General features: G+C 37.8%; 1 protein-coding gene across 5 annotated transcripts in view; it reads left to right on the forward strand.

Annotated features, from left to right (window-relative positions):
* The window catches only part of HNMT (histamine N-methyltransferase), a 51,892-nt gene that overhangs the window by 14,308 nt on the left and 15,878 nt on the right, over positions 1-21,706 (forward strand). Inside the window, exon 3 of one of the 5 annotated variants that reach the window (NM_001024075.3) lies at positions 2,436-2,844. The exons of the other annotated variants lie outside the window; for them this stretch is intronic. Within the exon in view, the coding sequence (NP_001019246.1) occupies positions 2,436-2,626 (191 nt within the window). The 3' untranslated portion in view covers positions 2,627-2,844. Of the gene's footprint in view, positions 1-2,435; positions 2,845-21,706 lie in introns of those variants that run through there. 5 annotated transcript variants of the gene reach the window in all.

A 21,706-nucleotide genomic window follows, 5' to 3' on the forward strand; every position in this document is an offset into this window, starting at 1 on the left:
ATAATACTTTATAATTATGTAATATAGTATTATATAATACTTTATAATTATGTAATATAGTATAATTATATAATTTAGTATTATATAATAGTCTTATATAATAAATAGTATAAAGTATACTCCATATTACATAATTATAATAGGTAGTATACATAAAATAGGTAATCTATTATATTACATATAATAAGTAATATATAATATATATAATTGGTAATACATTATATAATATTCTTATATAATATACTATATAGGCATACTATAATAGTAAATTGTATAATATATAGCATAGTTCATATATGTTTATAGTATAGTTATATATATTATGTGTTATATATAGTACATAATATATAAAGTATAATTTATGTTATATAAGACAAACTATATGTAAAATTATATATTCACATATAAAATATATCCATATATATTTCCATATATAAAGTATATATAAATACAAATATAAATGAATTTTACATAAATGTATACTTTTATTTATTTATTTATTTATTTTGAGACGGAGTCTTGCTCTGTCGCCCAGGCTGGAGTGCAGTGGTGTGATCTCGGCTCACTGCAAGCTCCGCCTCCCGGGTTCACGCCATTCTCCTGCCTCAGCCTCCCGCGTAGCTGGGACTACAGGCGCCCATCACCACGTTTTTAGTAGAGACGGGGTTTCACCCTGTTAGCCAAGATGGTCTCGATCTCCTGACCTCGTGATCCACCCACCTTGGCCTCCCAAAGTGCTGGGATTATAGGCGTGAGCCACCACGCCCGGCCATACTTTTATTTTATTTATATTATATATGAAAGATTAATAATTAAATGAATTATTTCACATGTCCATTTAAGAGAATATAGTATAGCCACTACAAATAACACATTAAAATAAATTTTGATATATTCATAGTTTAACACTCAAGAGAAAGGCAAAATAATTTATATACATAATAATCTCACCTAGATAGACTAAGAAAAAAATTGATTTGATCAATGGAGAAAAATAAAAGTTTAGGAAGCAGTGAGATGTTTCTTTTCTACTTTTTACCTTTCTCTATGTCCTGAGTTTTCTGCATTATTAATTTTTAGCCAGAGAGAGAAAAAAACAAAACTATAATTTTATATACGAGAGATGATGGTAAGGACTAGACCTCCGGCCTCTCCTTCATCTCCTTCAGCTAAACAGCTGAAGCCCAAAGCACTGCTCCCACAAGTGTGTTTTCCTGACAGTTTTTCTTCAGAAGATTTTGATTCACCTGTAACAGGTTTTTTTTTTTTTTTTGAGACAGAGTCTCCCTCTGTCACCCAGGCTGGAGTGCAGTGGCACGATCTCAGCTCACTGCAAGCTCCACCACCCAGGTTCATGCCATTCTCCTGCCTCGCCCTCCCCAGTAGCTGGGACTACAGGCGTCAGCCACCACACCCAGCTAATTTTTAAATATTTTTTAGTAGAGACGGGGTTTCACTGTGTTAGCCAGGATGGTCTCGATCTCCTGACCTCATGATCCTCCCATCTCGGCCTCCCAAAGTGCTGGGATTACAGGCGTGAGCCACCATGCCCGGTCCTGTAACAGTTTTATACCTGTGCAAATATTTAAAGAGCAATCCCAGCTATGTTGTAGATTAGCAGAGCTTTTCTTCAGAGCCTATAGATTCTCAGTGCCTAGCACCGAGTATACTTCAGCTCTGAGGACAGTGAGGATGATGCTGATCAAGAGAATGGTGGCTATCCTCTGTTTCTTGAGGTATTTGTTGTATCTTTTCTGAGTTTTCCATCAAATATCTGTACATTTCAGTCTTCAGCACCCTTTGAAGCATTTTCTCTAAGTTTGTGTTTTGTAGAACATTTTGGTTGCATGACTTTTCTTAGACTTCCTGATGTTGCAAAACCCTCAGGCAGTAGATTTCCTGGGCCAAGAACCAGAAGACACATGAAAACAAATGGCAACACCCTTTTGACTAAGAATTTATATTTATAACCCCCTTCTTGAAACTCTACAGCTATTTTAATATTTTATACTCATATTTTCATATAGACAGAACTGCTTTAATACTGAGGTACCCAGGGTGTTGGAGGGAGATAGAGAGAGAAAAAGAGAAGTAAAGAAAAGAAAGGATCTTGTCAGGAATCTTCTGTCTTTCATATTGCAGTTCACAATCAGATTGTTCTTTCTCTGGCTGCAAACCCACACCTGAAATTATTTTTCATCTCCAAGCACGGAGTTATATGAGCAATCGCTCTTCCTAGAAACCATTTTTTTTCTGCCTGATATTCTAGTAGAGGGAACAAAAATGATAATAATCTTAATGCAACATGTAATAGAATTAAATTTTTCCTGCTGATAATATATATTTTGATATGAGAAAAGAAGCAGGGATAGGCTGAAATCGAATGGCAGGAGATATGGCCACAGTCTTTAATCCCCTATTTTCTTGACCTGCAGATTGTCTCATTCGGGGAAGCTCCAGGGTTCTCAAGCGGAATTCGTGTTTCATTTTGTGTAGCACCCGTCAGAAAGACAAGCCAGGCATGAGGATCCATGATGAGCGCTCTTCTGAGTTGCCATTTGGAGCTGCCCGTTTAGAAAGCAAATCTGCATTTCCCTCATTCCTAGTTTCCTTCATCCTCTTTTAAGTGTCATCTTTTCCATGAAGCCTACTAGATCACACAGTTGAAAATTGCAAAGTCTTCACACCGCAGCTTCCCCTTTCTTTGTTGCTTTGGTTTTCTCCGTGGGACTTCCCACCATCCGTAAAATTAGGTGTTTTTGCCTGTTTTATTCACTGCTACGTCTCCAATGGTTAGAACCTGACATTTAGTGGGTGCTCAATAATATTTGTTGAAGTAATGTATAATAACTTCACTTTCTTGAGTAATTACTATATATCATGAACTGTGGTAAATTATCTCCATATAATGCCTGTAATCTTTACAACACCTCTAACCCTATAACATAAACCATGTTATACCCATTTTACACATATGCAATTTAAAGGACAGAGAGACCCACACATTTGCATAGGATAATTCTAGTGAATAAGAAATTTGCGTTCTTTTGTCTCTCTACAGGCTTCTTCTTATTATTATTATCACTATTTTGAAACAGAGTCTTTCTCTGTCACCCAGGTTGGAGTGCAGTGCCGCGATCTAGGCTCACTGCAACCTCCGTCTCTCAGGCTCATGTGATTCTTGTGCCTCAGCCACCCGAGTAGCTGAGATTACAGGCTCACGCCACCACGCCCAGATAATTTTTGTATTTTTAGTAGAGATTTCACCATGTTGGCCAGGCTGGTCACGAACTCCTGGCCTCAAGTGATCCACCAGCCTAGGCCTCCCGAAGTGCTGGGATTACAGGCAGGAGCCACTGCGCCCAGCCTTAATTTTTTCTTTTCACGATTTTTTTCCATTTTAAATTAAATGCCTTTGGATTTTAAAAAATGCAACATTCCTCTGCTATCTTATTAAACGTATCCTTGAACTTCAGGGAGTGGAGAATAGGTGTCTGGAAAATGAGACACTGCTTTTCTTTGTTTTTGAACTTAACAAGTTCCACATTCAGAGATCTCAATTACATGCCCTTCATTGAATGTAAGTGTGATGCATTTAACATACAGCTTGTGTGAAAGCAGGATATTATAACCACAAACATATCTGACTTTAAAATTAAGTAAAATACTCAACATAGCCCAGAATGGAAACATGGGAATTAATTCTATATCTGTGGCAGATCTGAGGGACACGGTGGTACCAAAAATTGAGATTTACAGAGAAGGAGATTTTTAATAATTCAGTTTTCATTAACTTCCCAAATCAGAAAGCCAGCATATTCTGTTTGGTAGGAAATTACACAGGAGTGAAGAAAAAAATCCACAATTCAGCTGATTAGAAAACAAGTTTTCATTAAACTAAAATTTATTGAATTTTTAAGCAATGTATAGCCAGCTAGCTTCCAAAAATTTGCTCATCGATATTGCTTAATAAAAAGTGTTTTCTTTCCCTTTATATGCTGTAATAACATAAACTGCCTAAGTGCTATTTTGGAAGCTGAATCATAGAGGGGCTAAGTGTTATGAAGGCTTATTATTTTCCAGACACTTTGCTAGCCACTTGACATATGTAATCACATTTTATTCTAATGGAAACTCTGTGGGGACTTCCTTTAAAAATGAAAGAGCTGAGGTTCAGATATTTTGAGGCTCAGATGGTTTAAGATGCATTTCATCAAGTAATAGACGGTGGAGCCGATCTCCAAGCCCAGGTTGGATTTTTCCTGAAGCGCATGATTTTTTCCTATTATCCCAAAGCCTCATCCATAAATATCATGCAGAACCTATGTAGTTGCTCATTATAGAGAAAGTTCTAGAGCCTAAAGTAGTCCAAAGTAAGTGACCCAAAACCAGGAAGACAGTTAACAGTAGAATACACAGACTTGCCCAAGGGGTATATCCTCCACATCCTCCACAAAGTATTTCCTGCTCTTCTTCTTGGACTCAGCCTCCCCTGTCCTCACTACAGTCACTAACTCTGCTTTTGTATTTTCACTGTTTGCCCTGAAGAATTCCATTATACCATTGTTGTAATTTATTGCACTTAATGTGTTTTATGTTTCCGATTACCAATCTGTACATTTTTATTCTCCTATTGTATATTTTTATACAATATACATATAGTGTATACAATATATATTGTAGGGAACAAAAAAAAATTCCCCCTCAACCCTCATGAATTCTTAGCTGGGATGGGTCCCTATAACAAAAGATAGATTAATAAGAGGGAAACAAACACGTTTATTAACGTGCAGTGCTCATCATACAGGATACACTCCAAGGAAAAGTAACTCGAAGTAGTGGTTTGGAACTCTGGCTCATAGAGCATCTTCAACAAAAAACAATAAATTTGTGGGGAAATGACAGGACAAAGGAAAATTATTTTAGGCTTCCAAGGGAGGGAAACTGTGGGAAGGTAAATATATGGGTGGAAAATATGAGTAAGTTTGTTTGCAGATTCCTCTGGTGCTGTCTCTGGGACGGTAAGAGTTTAGAGTTGTCTCCAGTAAAGGAGAATTTATAACCTGCCCTTAGGCAGAAGAGTAGGAGGATAGGGAAAATTTTCCTTCCATTTGCTGCTTCTTAATTGCCTTTAGCTCAAAAACAATTTTCTTGTCAAAGAGGCAGATGTCGAGGTGACCTATTCTGGTTTCCCTCAATATATTACTCTTTCTTGCATTGTCATGGAGTACTATACCCTGAAGATTACCGTATTGCTAAGTATTGATCTGATCTATGGATTCTGACTGTTACAGAATACTGAGTGTTGTGCATCCACCACAATTTTTCTGCCTTATAACTTTCCATCTAACTCCCTTCTATCCCAAGCAATGCTGTAGTGAACGTGGTTCAGTATCTCCTTATCCACCCATGTGAGAATTTCTTTGGATTATGCATTTTTATTACATTCTCAATTCAGAACTCCTGGGTCGTAGGTTATGCATATATTTAATACGAATAAGTATTACCAAATTAGTCCCCATAGTGGCTGCTCCAGTCTATATTCTCAGTGGCCTGGATGAAGTTTCTCTATCTGAATATCCCTGACATCACTTAGCATTCTTTAGCTTTCTGATGTTTTGCAAGTCCAACAAGCATCAGGTGATATTGTATTGCCATTTTAATTTTCATCTCTTTGATTATTAATGAGTTTGAGCAATGTCAATGTGCCTATTAACTTTTTAAGAAATTATCTCTATAAGCCCAACAGTGGGCATTTCCTGGCATATAATGGATCCTTAGTGGATGTATGATTGAAAGAAAGACATTATAGCATGCAAAATTCCCAAATTAGTCTCAGGCTTTGATTTTTGATACTTGTTGGTTATCTCGAAATCTGAACACTAAGTAAATATTGGAATTAAGTTTTTGAGGTAATTAACTATATTAATCAGTTGTCCTGATTTTACAGTCGAAGATTGTTGGTAAGTTTGACATAGGGAAATTAAACTTAAAAAAATCATAAAAATAACATTTTTTAAAAGTTACCATATGATGTAAGGAGTGACTGTGAGTTATATTTTCCCATTTTGTAGATGAGCAAATGAGTTCAGGAGAGATTTAAATACCCTATGAAAAGCATGCAGAATTCTGGTAGCACTATAAGGATAAATAAAAAGATTGGGCCATTTGGCTAGGGCTGGCATGAGTTAATTATAATCATTATGTGATTAATAAAACATTTGACATACCAGCAATCATGTCATGAAGTTCTATTCTCTGCCTTTGAATAGTAGCAAACTAGGATTATAATTTTATAATGACAGACCAGTTTAAGATAGAAGAGACATGACACGTAAGACTCTCAGCTTCTCACTATCTGCCTAAAACGTGCATGGACAAAATTGGTGTGTGCTAAAGGCAGTGCCACAGGAACCGAAACTAAAAAAAAAAAAAAAGATTAAGAATGTATAAAACTGCTCTAACTCCATCCCTTGACTGCCTTGGGATCTCAAATAGCAGAAATGTATGTCCATCAACAATGCAAGTGGAAGTGTATGTCTAATTTAAAGCCGTGTCCTAAGAATAGGATTTCACATAATGTGCTAGCTAAAGCGTAGAGGGTTGGTAGAGCTTTTGTTAGGGATTTCCTTGCAGCCTATCTTCACATCCTACCCTTTAAACATGCTTTTTTAAATGTAACAGCAGAGCACCTAGAAAACCTATTTTTCCAAGTTGTGACTTCTCTCTTTCCTACATACTTTTATTCTTCTAGTCATCCAAGTAACTATCTTACTAGTAGCAGTCTGTGAGTCTGTCTATGCATTCATGCATCCGTCTAACCAGCTGTCTACCTACTTATCCATATTTTTTAAGCAATAAAAATTTCATTTTGTAGCCTCTTTTACTAGTGCACTTGCCCAGAACAGACAGTCTCCCACTCAGAAGACCAGTTCTTTGAGTCACCAGATAAAGTTCATATATGATATAAGGTATAGTCACATCTTCAGTATACTAACATTTACTATAATACAGCAATGCCTTTTAAAATCAAATACACGTGATTTTACAAAACCAAATGTAAGCCTCCAGGATGTAAGAGAACAACTTGCATTATAAAGTATCCTTGAACCCAGGAGGCAGAGCTTGCAGTGAGCCAAAATCACACCACTGCACTCCAGCCTGGGCGACAGAGCGAGACTCCATCTCAAAAAATAAAATAAAATTAAAATTAAATAAAAATGTTTAATTAGATACATAATGGTAAATGTGGTACTAGTGTTAGTGGTAAATATGGTAATTAGCGTAGAGAGGTTAAATGATTACAGTAAGCTAAAGGCCAAATTGTTGTTAATTTGAGTTGTTTTATATATGTTGATAAATGCCTTGGAATAGTCACTTGCATACAAAATAATAAAAGAAAAAATTTAGACCTGTAGTAATTAGTCAGGGTTCTCTAGAGAAACAGAACCAACGAGATTATATATATATAATATAAATACAATTTATATATATATACCTTAATATGTAAAATAAGGAATTAGCTTATATGATTATGAAGGCTGACAAGTCCCAAGATCTGCAGTCGGTAGGCTGGAGACCCAGGAGAGCCCATGGTGTAAGTTCTAGTCTCAAAGCCAGCAGGCCTGAAGGCTTGAGACTCAACAAAGGCTGATATTTCAGTCTGAGTCTGAAGGCCAGAAATGACCAGTTCCAGCTCAAGCTGTTCTCTTCTGGTCTTGGATTGATTGGATGAGGGAGGGCAGTCTGCTTTACTCAGTCTACCAATTCAAACATTAATCTCATCCAAAAATGCCCTGACAGACACACCCAGAATCATGTTTATCCAAATGTCTGAGCACTCCATGGCCCAGTAGAGATGACACATAAAAGTAACCATCACAGAAAGGTTTTCTAATTGGAAGATAAACACTTCGAAAATAATTAATTTGAATAAATTTTTATAGAAACATTTCAAATTATAGATAAAAAAAGAGAATTAAAAATAAGCTATAATTCTATCGCCATTAGATAACTCTTGATTTGAATTTGGTGCATATCTTTCTAAACATTGTATATTGAAATGAAGTGCTGTGTATCCCATTGATTTATGCTGATACATACTTGGATTTGCCCAGCTTTGCTAAAATTACACACAAGGGATCAATTGAGAAAATCAGTTACATCATCATCACAAGCACAGAATGAAAAATCATTAATTTGCCTTGCTATTCACAGAAGGGGAGAAAAGAAAAAAAGAAAGAAAATACTATGATATGTTTGAATAGAGTTTGTTTAATCATCAAAATTATTTCTCTATTTGTCACAGAAAATGCTGTAGCCTTTGTTTCTTTAGGGAGAAACATTTAATGTCATTTCTTAATAGGGCTTTTGTTAACCCAAACAGCTGTTGGTGTGTATGTATCTAAAGGCCTTAGGGGGTCAAAAATAAGTAGCCTTCAATCATCAGAGTTATGACCAAGCAATGGTCATGAGAGGTCACATGTGGGAAGAGACTGACTATAAACTGAGCATGTATTGCCCTACTCCCCTTAAATGCCATTTTCTGGATCTCAAGTTTAAGATTCCTAGAAAGTTTTGCAATGTACAATAAAAGTAGATTGCTGCTTCCACATTTTTTTCACTTACCCCTGAATTTGTTGAGAATTTCTGAATTATTTGACTCAAGTCTAGTTTACTTTCTGCCATTATTTTGACACATTAGTTTGGCTTGTGTTCTCTCTGAAAGCATTTGTAAGGCATTCCATACCTGATTCTGGAACATAGTCATAACATTGTGGGTCCTGCTCTGAAGGATTCAGTTAGAAAGGACAATGGCCACTTTTTTTTTTTTTTTTTTTTTTTTTTTTACTTTGAATCTCTTATACTGATGGCTTATGGTTCTATAGGGTATAGTAACCCCTCATATGCCTGCAAAGATTAATGATCAAATCAGCTCAGTTATTCAATCCAGCATTTAAGTATCCTTAGTTCTTTTTAACAAACTTGTTGGAAGCAAGCCTTTGCTAGTACATCATATAAATGAAGAAGAGCAATAATTTAGATCAGGAAAGACAAGTGTGTTTTATCTGTGTTGCCAACTCCAGTCAATTGATGGGTAGTTAGTGTCTGGAAGATTCTCATGCTGCTTCTGGGCTCTGTGGGAAAGACCACTAAGATTACCAGCTATGAGTGGTAGAGTTTTAGATGTGTAGGAGTTAGCCAGCTGAAGTGAAGAAGTGAGGGAGACCTTTTTAGGCAGAGGAGAAAGCATGGGAGAGGATGGTACGTAAAGGAAAGAGGGTAGAATGCAAGCAATTCAGGGCTCCTGGAGCCGCAAAATTCAGAATATAAAACTGTGAGTGATGAGAATAAGGACCAGGCCAGATAGTCTATGTTTAGTGGAGAAGCTTGACCTTCATCCATTTTATAGTCACTAGAAGATTTTAAGCAGGGAAGTGATAGGTTTGCTTAGCAGGGTTTAAAATGGTTATCATGGTAAGTGCTTTGAGGAATACAAGACCAGAGGTAGGCTGACCTTTTAGGATATTATTGCAGTATTCCAAATGTGAATAATCTTGACCTGAATAAGAGCACAGCTAGTAGGGACAGAATTGAGAAAGTAAACTTCTTGATGGCCAGGAAAGGAAGATAAAGGAAGAAGAAACTTTGAGTGATGATGGATAGCAAACAGCATGGGTGAATGTTTCAAGAAAAGATAATACTTTAAAACTAAATGTTAAATGGTTAAACAAGACTATAATATGACAGATCTGAACTATTGACCCCCCTTTTTTTTAAACAGGCAAGAGGATTATATACATCTTTTTGTTGGCCGGACGTGGTTACTCACGCCTGTAATCCCAGCACTTTGGGAGGCCAAGGTAGGCAGATCACTTGAGGTCAAGAGTTCGAGACCAGCCTGGCCAATATGGTGAAACCCCGTCTCTACTAAAAATATGAAAATTAGCCTGGCATGGTGGTACGTGTCTGTAATCCCAGCTACTTGGGAGGGTGAGGCAGGAGAATCGCTTGAACCTGGGAGGCAGAGGTTGTAGTGAGCCGAGATTGCACCACTGCACTCCAGCCTGGGCAACAGAGCAAGACTGTTTCAAAAAAATAAAAATAAATATTTTTGTCATTGTTGTTTTATTTTAAAGAAAGGTTTTTTAAAGGAAGTTTAGGGTTTGCAGATAAATTGACAGCAAGGTACAGAGATTTTCCATACAACCCCTGCTCTCAAGCATGCATTGTCTCCCCATTATATATATATTCCCTCCCAGAATTACAATCTGCTACAATTTATAAACATCCATTGACATATAATTACTAGAAGCTCATAGTTTACTTTAGGGTTTCCTTTTGGTGTTGTATTCCACGGGTTTAAACAAATGTATAAAGACATGTATCCACCATTACAGTATTATACAGAGTAGTTTTACTGTCCCCGAAATCATCTATGCTCCACCCCTTCACATCCACCCCTCAGCCCCTGGCAACCACTGATCTTTTCACTGTTTCCATAATTTTGTCTTTTCCAGAATGTCATCTAGTTGAAATCACACAGCATGTAACCTTTTCATATTGGCTCCGTTCAGATAGTAATATGCATTTAAGTTTCTTCCATGTCTTTTCATGGCTTAGTAACTCATTTCTTTCTTGTACTGAATGATATTCTATTGTCTGCATGTACCACAGATTCTTTGTTTGTTTGTTCTTTTACTTATCAGTTTATATGCTGAAGGACACATCTTGGTTACTTCCAAGCTTTGGCAATTATGAATAAAGCTAATAAACATCTATGTGCAGATTTTTGTGTGACTGTAAGTTTTCAACTCCTTTGGGTAGAAACCAAGGAGCTTGATTACTGAATCATATGGTAAGGTTATGCTTCGTCTTTTAAGAAACTGCCAAACTGTATTCCAAAGTGGACCCAAAGTTACCTTTCCCACCAGCAGCGAATGAGAGTTCCTGTTGCTCCATATCTTTCCCAGCATTTGTTGTCATTAGTGCTCTGGATTTTGGCCCTTCCAGGTGTGTAATGGTATTTTGTTAATGTTTTAATTTGCATTTCATTGATGGCATATGATATGAAATATCTCTTTATATATTTATCTGTCATCTGTATATCTTCTTTGGTGAGGTGTTTAGGTCTTTGGCCCAATTGTTAATTGGGCTGGTTGTTTTCTTATCGTTGAGCTTTAAGAGTTCTTTGTATATTTTGGATAGTAATCCTTTATCAGATATGCTCTTTTCAATTATTTTCTTTCATGCTTGTCATCTCATTCTCTTGACATTTTCTTTTGTAGAGCAGAAGTTTTTAATTTTAATAAAGTTCAGCTTATTAATTACTTATTTCATAGATTATGCCTTTGGTTTCTATTTAAAAAGTCATCGCCGTACCCAAGGTCATCTAGGTTTTCCTCTGTGTTATATTTTAGGAATTTTACAGTTTTATGTTTTACACATAGTTCTATGATTCATTTTGAGTTAATTTTTGTGAAGGATGTAAGGTCCTTGTCTAGATTCATTTTTTTGCAGGTGGGTATCCAGTTGTTGCAGCACCATTTGTTGAAAAGACTATCTTTGCTCCATTGTATTGCCTTTGCTCCCTTGTCAAAGATCAATTCACTATATTTATGTGGGTCTATTTCTGGTCTCTCTATTCTGTTCCACTGATCTATCTGTCTATTCTTTTGCCATTACCAGGCTGTTTTGATTCATATAGCTTTATAGTAAGTCTTGAAGTCAGATAGTGTCGGTTCTCCAACTTTATTCTTCTCTTTCCATATTATATTGCAGATTATGGGTATAAATTATTTTTTAAAAATACATGTCTGCTATTTCTGAGGGATACTGAAAAGCAAATCATGTAGAATACAATGTCAAGGAATATTTTATTTTATGATTTTATATCTTATGGATATGTATATATACCCACACATATTTATATGTACATACATATGTATATGTTCTGAGGGAAAAACTCAAACTTTTTCCTCTGCTCTCACACCACAACAATCAACACAGAAGACTTCTGTGACCAAATGCATGAGTTTTTTTTTTCTCCCAACACCAAGCAGCAGATACTTCCAGGTATCTTCCAATTCAATTCAATTCTGATGCTGTCTCCCTGAAAATAATGTCAGATCCCACAGGTTGAGGGCTCAGTCCCACAAAACTGTCCCCTTTCAGACACCAGTTGCAAGTTTGGGCCTCCAGAATTTCTCAGTAGCCAGCTTCAAGTTGAGGTTTCCACAACCCCTCTTTGGGTTTGATTAATTTACTAAAGTGGTTCACAGAACTCAGGGAAACTGGCTTAATTTGCTGGTTTATGATAAAGGATGTTACAAAGGCTACAGATGAAGAGATGCATAGGGTAAGGTATGAGAGAAGGTACACAGAGCTTTCATGCTCTGCCTGGATATGCCACCTGCCAGGATCCTACACATGTTCACTATCTGGAAGCTCTTCAAATCCTGTTCTCTTGGGCCTTTTATGAAAACTTCATTGGATAGGCATGACTGAAGCATGGACAACCATGTAGTAATGTGATTGGATGAAAAGGTTATAATCTAATGCTGATAGGCTGAGTGGGAAAACCCAGTGAGGCCTATCTGTTCAGATTCTTCTTGATCTCTCTGTGCAGCATTAATTCCTCTAGGATATGGGACAGGACCTCCTCTGAAATGAGGTCTTATGACCCTCAATCACAAAGGTGGAAACACGTTATAGTCCTGCCTTGTATAGGTGAAAGGTTTTCTGAGGTCTGCTCCTGAGGCCAAAAGCACCATAAAATTATAATAAAAGACTATTAACAAGGGCTATGGGAATCATAAGCCAGGAGCCATAGATAAAAACATATAGATATATAAAATAATATCACACACATATATCGATCTATGCATATACACACATTTCTATAAAGATACATATATGTATGTAAATAGATAGAAGTAGATATTTATATAGCTAGATATAGAAGTAGATAATTGTATTATTTATTACATATATATCACAATAAGAAATACTATACTTATTATAAAAATAACACAGGGCGGGGCCAAGATGGCCGACTAGAAACAGCAGCGTTTGGAGGCCCCCATTGAAAAAAAACATAAGCTTGTGAATACTTCACCAGCAACCAAGGCATCCAGGTTCTCTCATCAGAACTGACTAGGAGGTTGGTGTGACCCACGGAGAGAAAGAAGAACAGTGTGGTGTGGCAGCCCACATGAGAGCCACATGGAGTGGGGGAGCCCCCTCCCCCCCAGCCAAGGGAGGCAATGGGTGAGCGTGCTTTTTCCACAGAATTGTGCAACCCACAGATTGGAAGATCCCACTCGTGAACCCACACCACCAGGGACTAGCGTCCCAACCCAGGAATGCACAGACTCTTAGCTTCTCGGTTGGAAGGAATCTGCTTAAGCCTACGGAACTCCTGGAGGGAGGGGTGACCAGAACTGGGTGTGGCTGCCTGCTGTCAAAGCTATTTGAGCTCCTTGTGGGAGGAGCAGCAGCCAGTACTGGGATTTGCATCTGCCTAACACAAAGCTCCCTGGGCAGGGGAAGGGAGGCATCCATCTCTATAGCCCCAGGCTGTGCTTTTCCTCTGTTGGAGACAGGGAGGCTGGACGGCTTGGTCCCAAGACTTGTCCCTCACAGTCCAACACATCTGCTTGCAGTCTGTGGCCAGAGTGCCTCTTCAGGCCTGACCCTGACCCATCCTTCCTCATTGGGTGAGGCTTCCCCCACCAACTCCAGTAACACCAGCCAGAGGCTCAGGGACAGAACCTGCATCTCCCTGGTCCTGTGTCCCTAGGGGGAGGGATGGCTGCAGTCTCTGTGGACCAGCAGACTTAGCCTTTCCTCCTGGTAGTTCTGAGGAATCCAGGCAGCCCAGACAAGTGGGTTCCCCGCAAGTGAGGCACTGTGTTAAACAGGTTCTGTTCCCCATGCCACCCAACTGGGTGAGACCCTCCAATAGAGGTTGTCAGACACCCTATACAGGAGTGCTCCTACTGGCATCAGGCTGGTGCCCCTCAAGGTCAGAAGTCCCAGAAGAAGAAGCAGGCACTCATCTTTGCTGTTCTCCAGCCTCTTTGAGTGACATCTCCAGGCACAGCAGCGAATCAGATAAATAGGTCCTGAAGTGAACCCCCAGCAAACTGCAGCAGCCCTACAGAAGAGGGACCTAACCATTGAAAGAAAAAAAACAAGCAGAAAGCAACAACAACAGCATCAACAACAAGAACAACAAAAAGTCTCCACAAAAACTCCATCCAAGGGTCAGCAGCCTCAAAGACCAAAACTAGACAAACTCACGAAGTCAAGAAAGAATCAATGAAACAATGCTGAAAACCCAAAAGGTCAGAGTGCCTTTTGTCCTCCAAATGATTTCAACCTTTCTCCGTCGGGGTAACAGAACTGGAGGGAGGATCAGATGGACAAATTGACAGAAGTAGGCTTCAAAATATGGGTAATAAAAACCTACACTGATCTAAAGGAGCATGTTCTAACCCAATGCAAAGAAGCTAAGAACCTTGATAAAAGGTTAGAGGAATTGCTAACTAGAATAACCAGTTTAGAGAGGAGCATAAACAACATGTTGGAGCTGAAAAACACAGCACGAGAACTTCCTGAAGCATACACAAGTATCAACTGATGAATCAACCAAGTGGAAGAAAGAATATCAGAGTCTGAAGACAAGACTAGAGAAAAAAGAATGAAAAGGAATGAACAAAGCTTCCAAGAAATATGAGACTTCATAAGAAGACCAAACCTACAATTGATTGGAGTCCAAGAAGGAGATGGAGAGAATGGAAACAAGCTGGAAAACACACTTCAGGATATTATCCAGGAGAACTTCCTCAATCTAGCAAGACTGCCAACATGCAAACTGAGGAAAAACAGAGAACATCATTAAGATACTCCACAAGAAATTCAACCCCAAGACACATAATCATCAGATTGAAGATTGAAATGAAAGAAAATTGTTAAGGGCAGCCAAAGAGAAAAGCCAGGTCACCTACAAAGGGAAACCCATCAGACTGACAGACCTCTCAGCAGAAACTCTACAAGCCAGAAAAGATTGGGGGCCAATATTCAACATTCTTAAAGAAAAAAAAAATTCAACCTAGAATTTCATATCCAGCCAAACTAGCTTCATAAGCAAAGGAGAAATAAAATCCTTTCCAGACAAGCAAATGCTGAGGAATTTTGTTGTTACCAGGCCTGCCCTGCAAGAGCTCCTGAAGGAAGCACTAAAGATGGAAAGGAAAAGCCAGGAGCAGCCACTGCAAAAACACATCAAAATATAAAGACCAATGACACTATGAAGAAACTGCAACAACTAGTGTACAAAATAAACAAATAGCAGCATGATGGTAGGGTCAAATTCACACATAATGATACTAACCTTAAATGTAAATGAGCTAAATGTCCCAATTAAAAGACACAGTCTGACAAATCGGATAAAGAGTCAAGACCCATCACCCATCAGTGTGCTGTATTCAGGAGACCCATCTCATGTGCAAAGACATGCATAGGCTCAAAATAAGGGGATGGAGGAAAATTTACCAAGCAAATGGAAAGCAAAAAATAAGCAGGGGTTGAAATCCTAGTCTCTGACAAAACAGACTTTAAACCAACAAAGATCAAAAAAGACAAGGGCATTACATAAGGTAAAGGGAACAATTCAACAAGAAGAGCTAACTATTCTAAATATATATGCACCCTATACAAGAGCACCCAGATTCATAAAACAAGTTTTTAGAGACCTACAAAGAGAGGTATACTCCCAGACAATAATAGTGGGAGATTTTAACACCCCACTGTCAGTATTAGATCAATGAGACAGAAAATTAATAAGGATATTCAAGACTTGAACTCAGATCTGGATCAAGTGGACCTAGTAGACATCTACAAACCTCTGTACCCCAAATCAACAGAATATACATTCTTCGCAATGCCACTTGGCACTTATTCTAAAATCTACGACATAATTGGAAATAAAACACTCCTTAGCAAATGCAAAAGAACTGAAATCATAACAGTCTCTCAGACCACAGTGCAATCAAATTAGAACTCAGGATTAAGAAACTCACTCAAAACCACATAATTACATGGAAATTGAACAACCTGCTCCTGAATGACTCCTGGGTAAATAATGAAATTAAAGCAGAGATCAAGAAGTTCTTTGAAACCAACAAGAACAAAGAGACAACATACCAGAATCTCTGGGACACAACTAAAGCAGTGTTAAGAGGGAAATTTATAGCACTTAAATGCCCCCATCAGAAAGCCTGAAGATCTCAAGTTGACACCCTAACATCACAATTAAAAGAGTTATAGAGGCAAGAACAAATGAATCCAAAAGCTGGCAGAAGACTAGAAATAACTATGATCAGAGAAGAATTAAAGGAGATAGAGACCCAAAAACCCTCCAAAAAAAAAATCAATGAGTCCAGGAGCTGGTTTTTTGAAAAAATTAACAAAATAGATTGCTAGCTAGACTAATAAAGGAGAAAAGAGAGAAGGATCAAATAGACACAATAAAAAATGATAAAGGGGATATCACCACTGACCCCACAGAAATACAAACTACCATCAGAGAATACTATAAACACCTCTACACAAATAAACTAGAAACTCTAGAAGAAATGGTTAAATTCCTGGGCACATACACCCTACTAAGACTAGACCAAGAAGAAGTTGAATCCCTGAATAGACCAATAACAAGTTCTGAAATTAAGGCAGTAATTAATAGCCTACCAACCAAAGAAAGCCCAGGACCAGATGGATTCACAGCTGAGTCCTACCAGAAATACAAAGAGGAGCTGGTACCATTCCTTCAGATACTATTACAAATGATTGAAAAGGTGGGACTCTTCCCTAACTCATTTTATGAAGCCAGCATCTTCCTGATAACGAAATCAAGAAGAGACACAACAAAAAAAAGGAAACTTCAGGCCAGTATCTCTGATGAATATCGATGGGAAAATCCTCAATAAAATACTGGCAAACCAAATTCAGCAGCACATTAAAAAAAATTATCCACCACAATCAAGTCAGCTTCATCCCTGGGATGCAAGGCTGGTTCAACATACACAAATCAAAAAACATAATCTATCACATAAACAGACCGAAAGACAAAAACCACATTATTATCTCAATAGATGCAGAAAAGGCCTTTGATAAAATTAAACTACTCTTCTTGTTAAAAACTCTCAATAAACTAGATATTAATGGAACATATCTCAAAATAATGAAAGCTATGTATGACAAACTTACCCAACCAATATCATATTGAATAGGCAAAAGCTGGAAGCATTCCTGTTGAAAACCAGTACAAGACAAGGATGTCCTCTCTCACCACTCCTATTCAACATAGTATTGGAAGTTCTTGCCAGGGCAATCAAGCAATAGAAACAAATAAAAGGTATTCAAATAGGAAGAGAGGAAGTCAAATTGTCTCTGTTTGTAGACAACATGATTGTATATTTAGAAAACCCCATCATCTCAGCCTAAAAACTTCTTAAACTGATAAGCAACTTCAGCAAAGTCTTAGGATACAAAATCAATGTGCAAAAATCACAAGCATTCCTTTACACCAACAATAGACAAAAACAGAGCCAAATCATGAATAAACTCCAAATCACAGTTGCTACAAAGAGAATAAAATACCTAGGAATACAGCTAACAAGGGATGCAAAGGACCTCTTCAAGGAGATCTACAAAGCATTTTTCAAGGATATAAGAGAGGATGCAATCAAATGGAAAAACATTCCATCCTCATGGATAAGAAGAATCAATATTATGAAAATGACCATACTGCCCAAATTGATTTATAGATTCAATGCTATTCCCATCAAACTACCATCGACATTCTTCACAGAATTAGAAAAAGTTATTTTAAATTTCATATGTAATCAAAGAAGACCACATATAGCCAAGACAATCCTAAGCAAAAGGAGCAAAGCTGGAGGCATCATGCCACCTGACTTCAAACTATACTAAAAGTCTACAGTAACCAAAACAGCATGGTACTGGTACCAAAACAGATATATAGACCAATGGAACAGAACAGAGACCTCAGAAATAACACCACACACCTACAACCATCTGATCTTCAACAAACCTGACAAAAACAAGCAACGGGGAAAGGATCTCCTATTCAGTAAATGGTGCTGGGAAAACTGGCTAGCCATATGCAGAAAACTGAAACTCGACCCCTTCCTTACACCTTATAACAAAAATTAACCCAAGATGGATTAAAGACTTAAATGTAAAACCCAAAACCATAAAAACCCTAGAAGACAACCTAGGCAATACCATTCAGGACATAGGCATGGGCAAAGACTTCATGACAAAAATGCCAAAAGCAATTGCAACAAAAGCCAACATTTACAAATGGGATCTAATTAAACTAAAGAACTTCTGCACAGCAAAAGAAACTATCATCAGAGTGAACAGGCAACCTACAGAATGGGATAAAATTTCTGTGCTCTACCCATCTGACAAAGATCTAATATCCAGAATTTACAAGGAACTTAAATGAATTTATAAGAAAAAAAAAGCCACCCCATCAAAAACTGGACAAAAGATATGAACAGACACTTCTCAAAAGAAGACATTTATGTGGCCAACAAACATATGAAAAAAAGCTCAATATCGCTGATCATCAGAGAAATGCAAATCAAAACCACCATGAGATACCATCTCATGCCAGTCAGAATGGCAATTATTAAAACATCAGGAAACAATAGATGCTGGCAAAGCCGTGGAGAGATAGGAGCACTTTTACATTGTTGGTGGGAATGTCAATTAGTTCAACCATTGTGGAAGACAGTATGGAGATTCCTCAAGAATTTAGAACCAGAAATACCATTTGACCCAGCAATGGGATTGCTGGGTATATACCCAAAGGAATATAAATCATTCTACTATAAAGACACATGCATATGTATGCTCACTGCAGCACTATTTACAATAGCAAAGTCATGGAACCAACCCAAATGCCCATCGGTGATAGACTGGATAAAGAAAATGTGCATATACACCATGTTATACTGTAAAGCCATAAAAAAGAATGAGTTCATGTCCTTCACAGGGACATGGATGATGCTGGGAGCCATCATCCTCAGCAAACTAACAGGAACAGAGAACCAAATACCGCATGTTCTCATTCATAAGTGGCAGTTGAACGATGAGAGCACATGGACACAGAGCGGGGAGCAACAGACACCAGGGCCTGTTGGGGGTTGGGGTTGAGGGGAGGGAACACAGAAGACAGGTCAATAGGTGCAGCAAACCACCATGGTGCATGTATACCTATGTAACAAACCTGTACATTCTGCATATATATTCCATTCTTTCTCAGAAGAAATAAAAAAAAGCACAGAATGTAATCGCCTATGAGCACAGTGGTATTATTTATTGTCCAATGTAGGGTACTTTAGAGAATTAGTTGGAAAGAGTAGGTAAAATAATTAAAATTATTATAATTTTTGAAATTTGTATGCATTGAACAAATTTCTCATATTAGTAAATTTATGAAATGTTCTTTTTTAAAAACTACTTCCAAAACTAAAATTCTGCTAATGATATTTTATTAAAAATGAACAAGTTAGGACCAAAAAACGAAAGCAGATGGACACTAAGTCAACAGGTATAAAATGGAAATGTCCCTGACAAACAAGTATGGTCACCCTACTTATGAGGTCAGAAATAGATTTTACGTTCTAATTGACTCTTAAGGAAATAGTTGCATTATCACCTCTTCTTAAACTTAATTTATTTTTGTCAGGAATCCAGCACACATGAGCTTATACTCTAGAGGCTGTTATGCAAACCAATGGTTTCCATATGTCAATTGTGATTCTAGCATTGTGTCCTCTATCAGTGCCCCAGGGAGAGGGACTGCCTGGCTCTGAACATGTCCCAGACTGTGCTAGATATATTTTGCCAACCAGGCCAACCTGAAATGTCAAGGTCCATCTTTGGAGGAGAGCTCATCAAGCCCTGAGGGGATATAATTGCATTTCAGTTATCTTTTTCAAAATGTCGAATTTGAGATCCTCATAATTGATAATTTTTCATTTAAAATGTATGGCTAGGTTAATATGAGGCAAGAACAGAAAATTTTGGTCTCTAGTCTTTTGGGGGCAAGCTGGAATCTATTTCCCATTAGCCCACAGCTATTCTTACCAGCCTTTTGTCTTAGTTGTCTTTTTTTCCCTTCAGAATAGTTGCTGAACAGAAGAATAAAAGGCTTTTCATGTCTTTTTAGCATTTGTGATCTTTCTACTTCTTAGTTGAATGAGTTAGAAGAATAAACATTGTAGATTTAGACAAATGTGACTTAAACTTCAGGTATATCAATATCCCTTGAATGTCAACATACTCAAATCACCTAATCCAGTTGGGAATATTAATAATATCATGGAACTTGCTGTCAGGATTAATGAGATGTTCCAGGTAAAAAGCCTAGCACAGTGTTTGGCAAATAGTAGGTGGCCAATAATAAATGGCAGCTATAGTCATCAGTGAAGAAATACATGATTTCAAGTAGGTAGGGCTGGCTGTGAAGAAAATTGTCACATAAGTGACTTCATACTCTATTTCAGCTTCCTTCCCACTCTCCCTCCTTCCCTCCACACACACCATGTACGCCATCTCCTATTGTCAGTACTTGGGACTCTCATATGCACCTGGACCACTGTCTTTTCCCAGTCTAGCATCTTCTGTTCCTGGTTTATCTTCCTCATCTCTTTCCTTCCAGACCTCCCAGTCTTATGACCTCTGCTTTTGCTTCCTGCTATGTGCAGCCTTGGAAAGTTTCTGCTAATGTCATTTATGCCAAATGTTAAAGACTAACATCATTTTCCTATGCTAATCTTGCCAGGAGGTATTTCCATTTTAGTGAAGGTCAACATCATAACCTAACTGAATAAAAGTGCAAAACATAAGTTGGAGGCATCAGCAAGAGGGAGAGAAGAGATATTTTCAAATAGATGTACTCAAGATAACAATAAAAATAATGAACAGCTAACATTTATTCACTGCCAACTTTATTTTGCACTGTGCATTATATGCATTACTTCATTTAACCCTCACAACTAATAAATTAAGTACTATTATTATTTTTATTTTTCTAATAAAAAAAAAAAAGAAGCTTGGAGAGGTAAAGCAAATTGCCCAAAGTCGTATACACCGAGTAAGTGAAGAAGACAGGTTTAAAACTCAAGTCCATCTGACTTATTGTCATCTCTCTTACACTAACCCTTACAGGCTGAATTTTCACCAGGGCAGGGATTCTTGCTTGGAAGTCCTGCCTTGCTCAATATTCTAAGAAATCTAGACTGCTAGTAGTTCCAAATATACTCTTTTATTTTCTGTGTGTGCATCTGTCATCTTGTCCCCTGTACCTGCAATCCCTCACTTCCCCACAGTTTCTGGGCTAACTCCCACTTACCCTGGGAGTGACAGAGTTCATGAGTGATCTTCCCCCATGAAGCATCATCACTCTGGCATCATCTCTCGTCCTCTCCCCATATGTTCTCTTCCCTCTTCCTACCTTGATTCAACTGAGCCAGGGCTATTTCTGTGTCTGTGAACAGGTAATAGTGTTTATGAGGGCAGATATCTGACATGTTTTTCTTCTTTATTTTACCTGACATATGCTTGTACCCTTTATTTAATCTGACATTTTTTTGTACTCTTCTGG

The sequence above is a fragment of the Homo sapiens genome, chromosome 2 (genome assembly GCF_000001405.40).
Source record: "Homo sapiens chromosome 2, GRCh38.p14 Primary Assembly".
Lineage (NCBI taxonomy): Eukaryota > Metazoa > Chordata > Mammalia > Primates > Hominidae > Homo > Homo sapiens.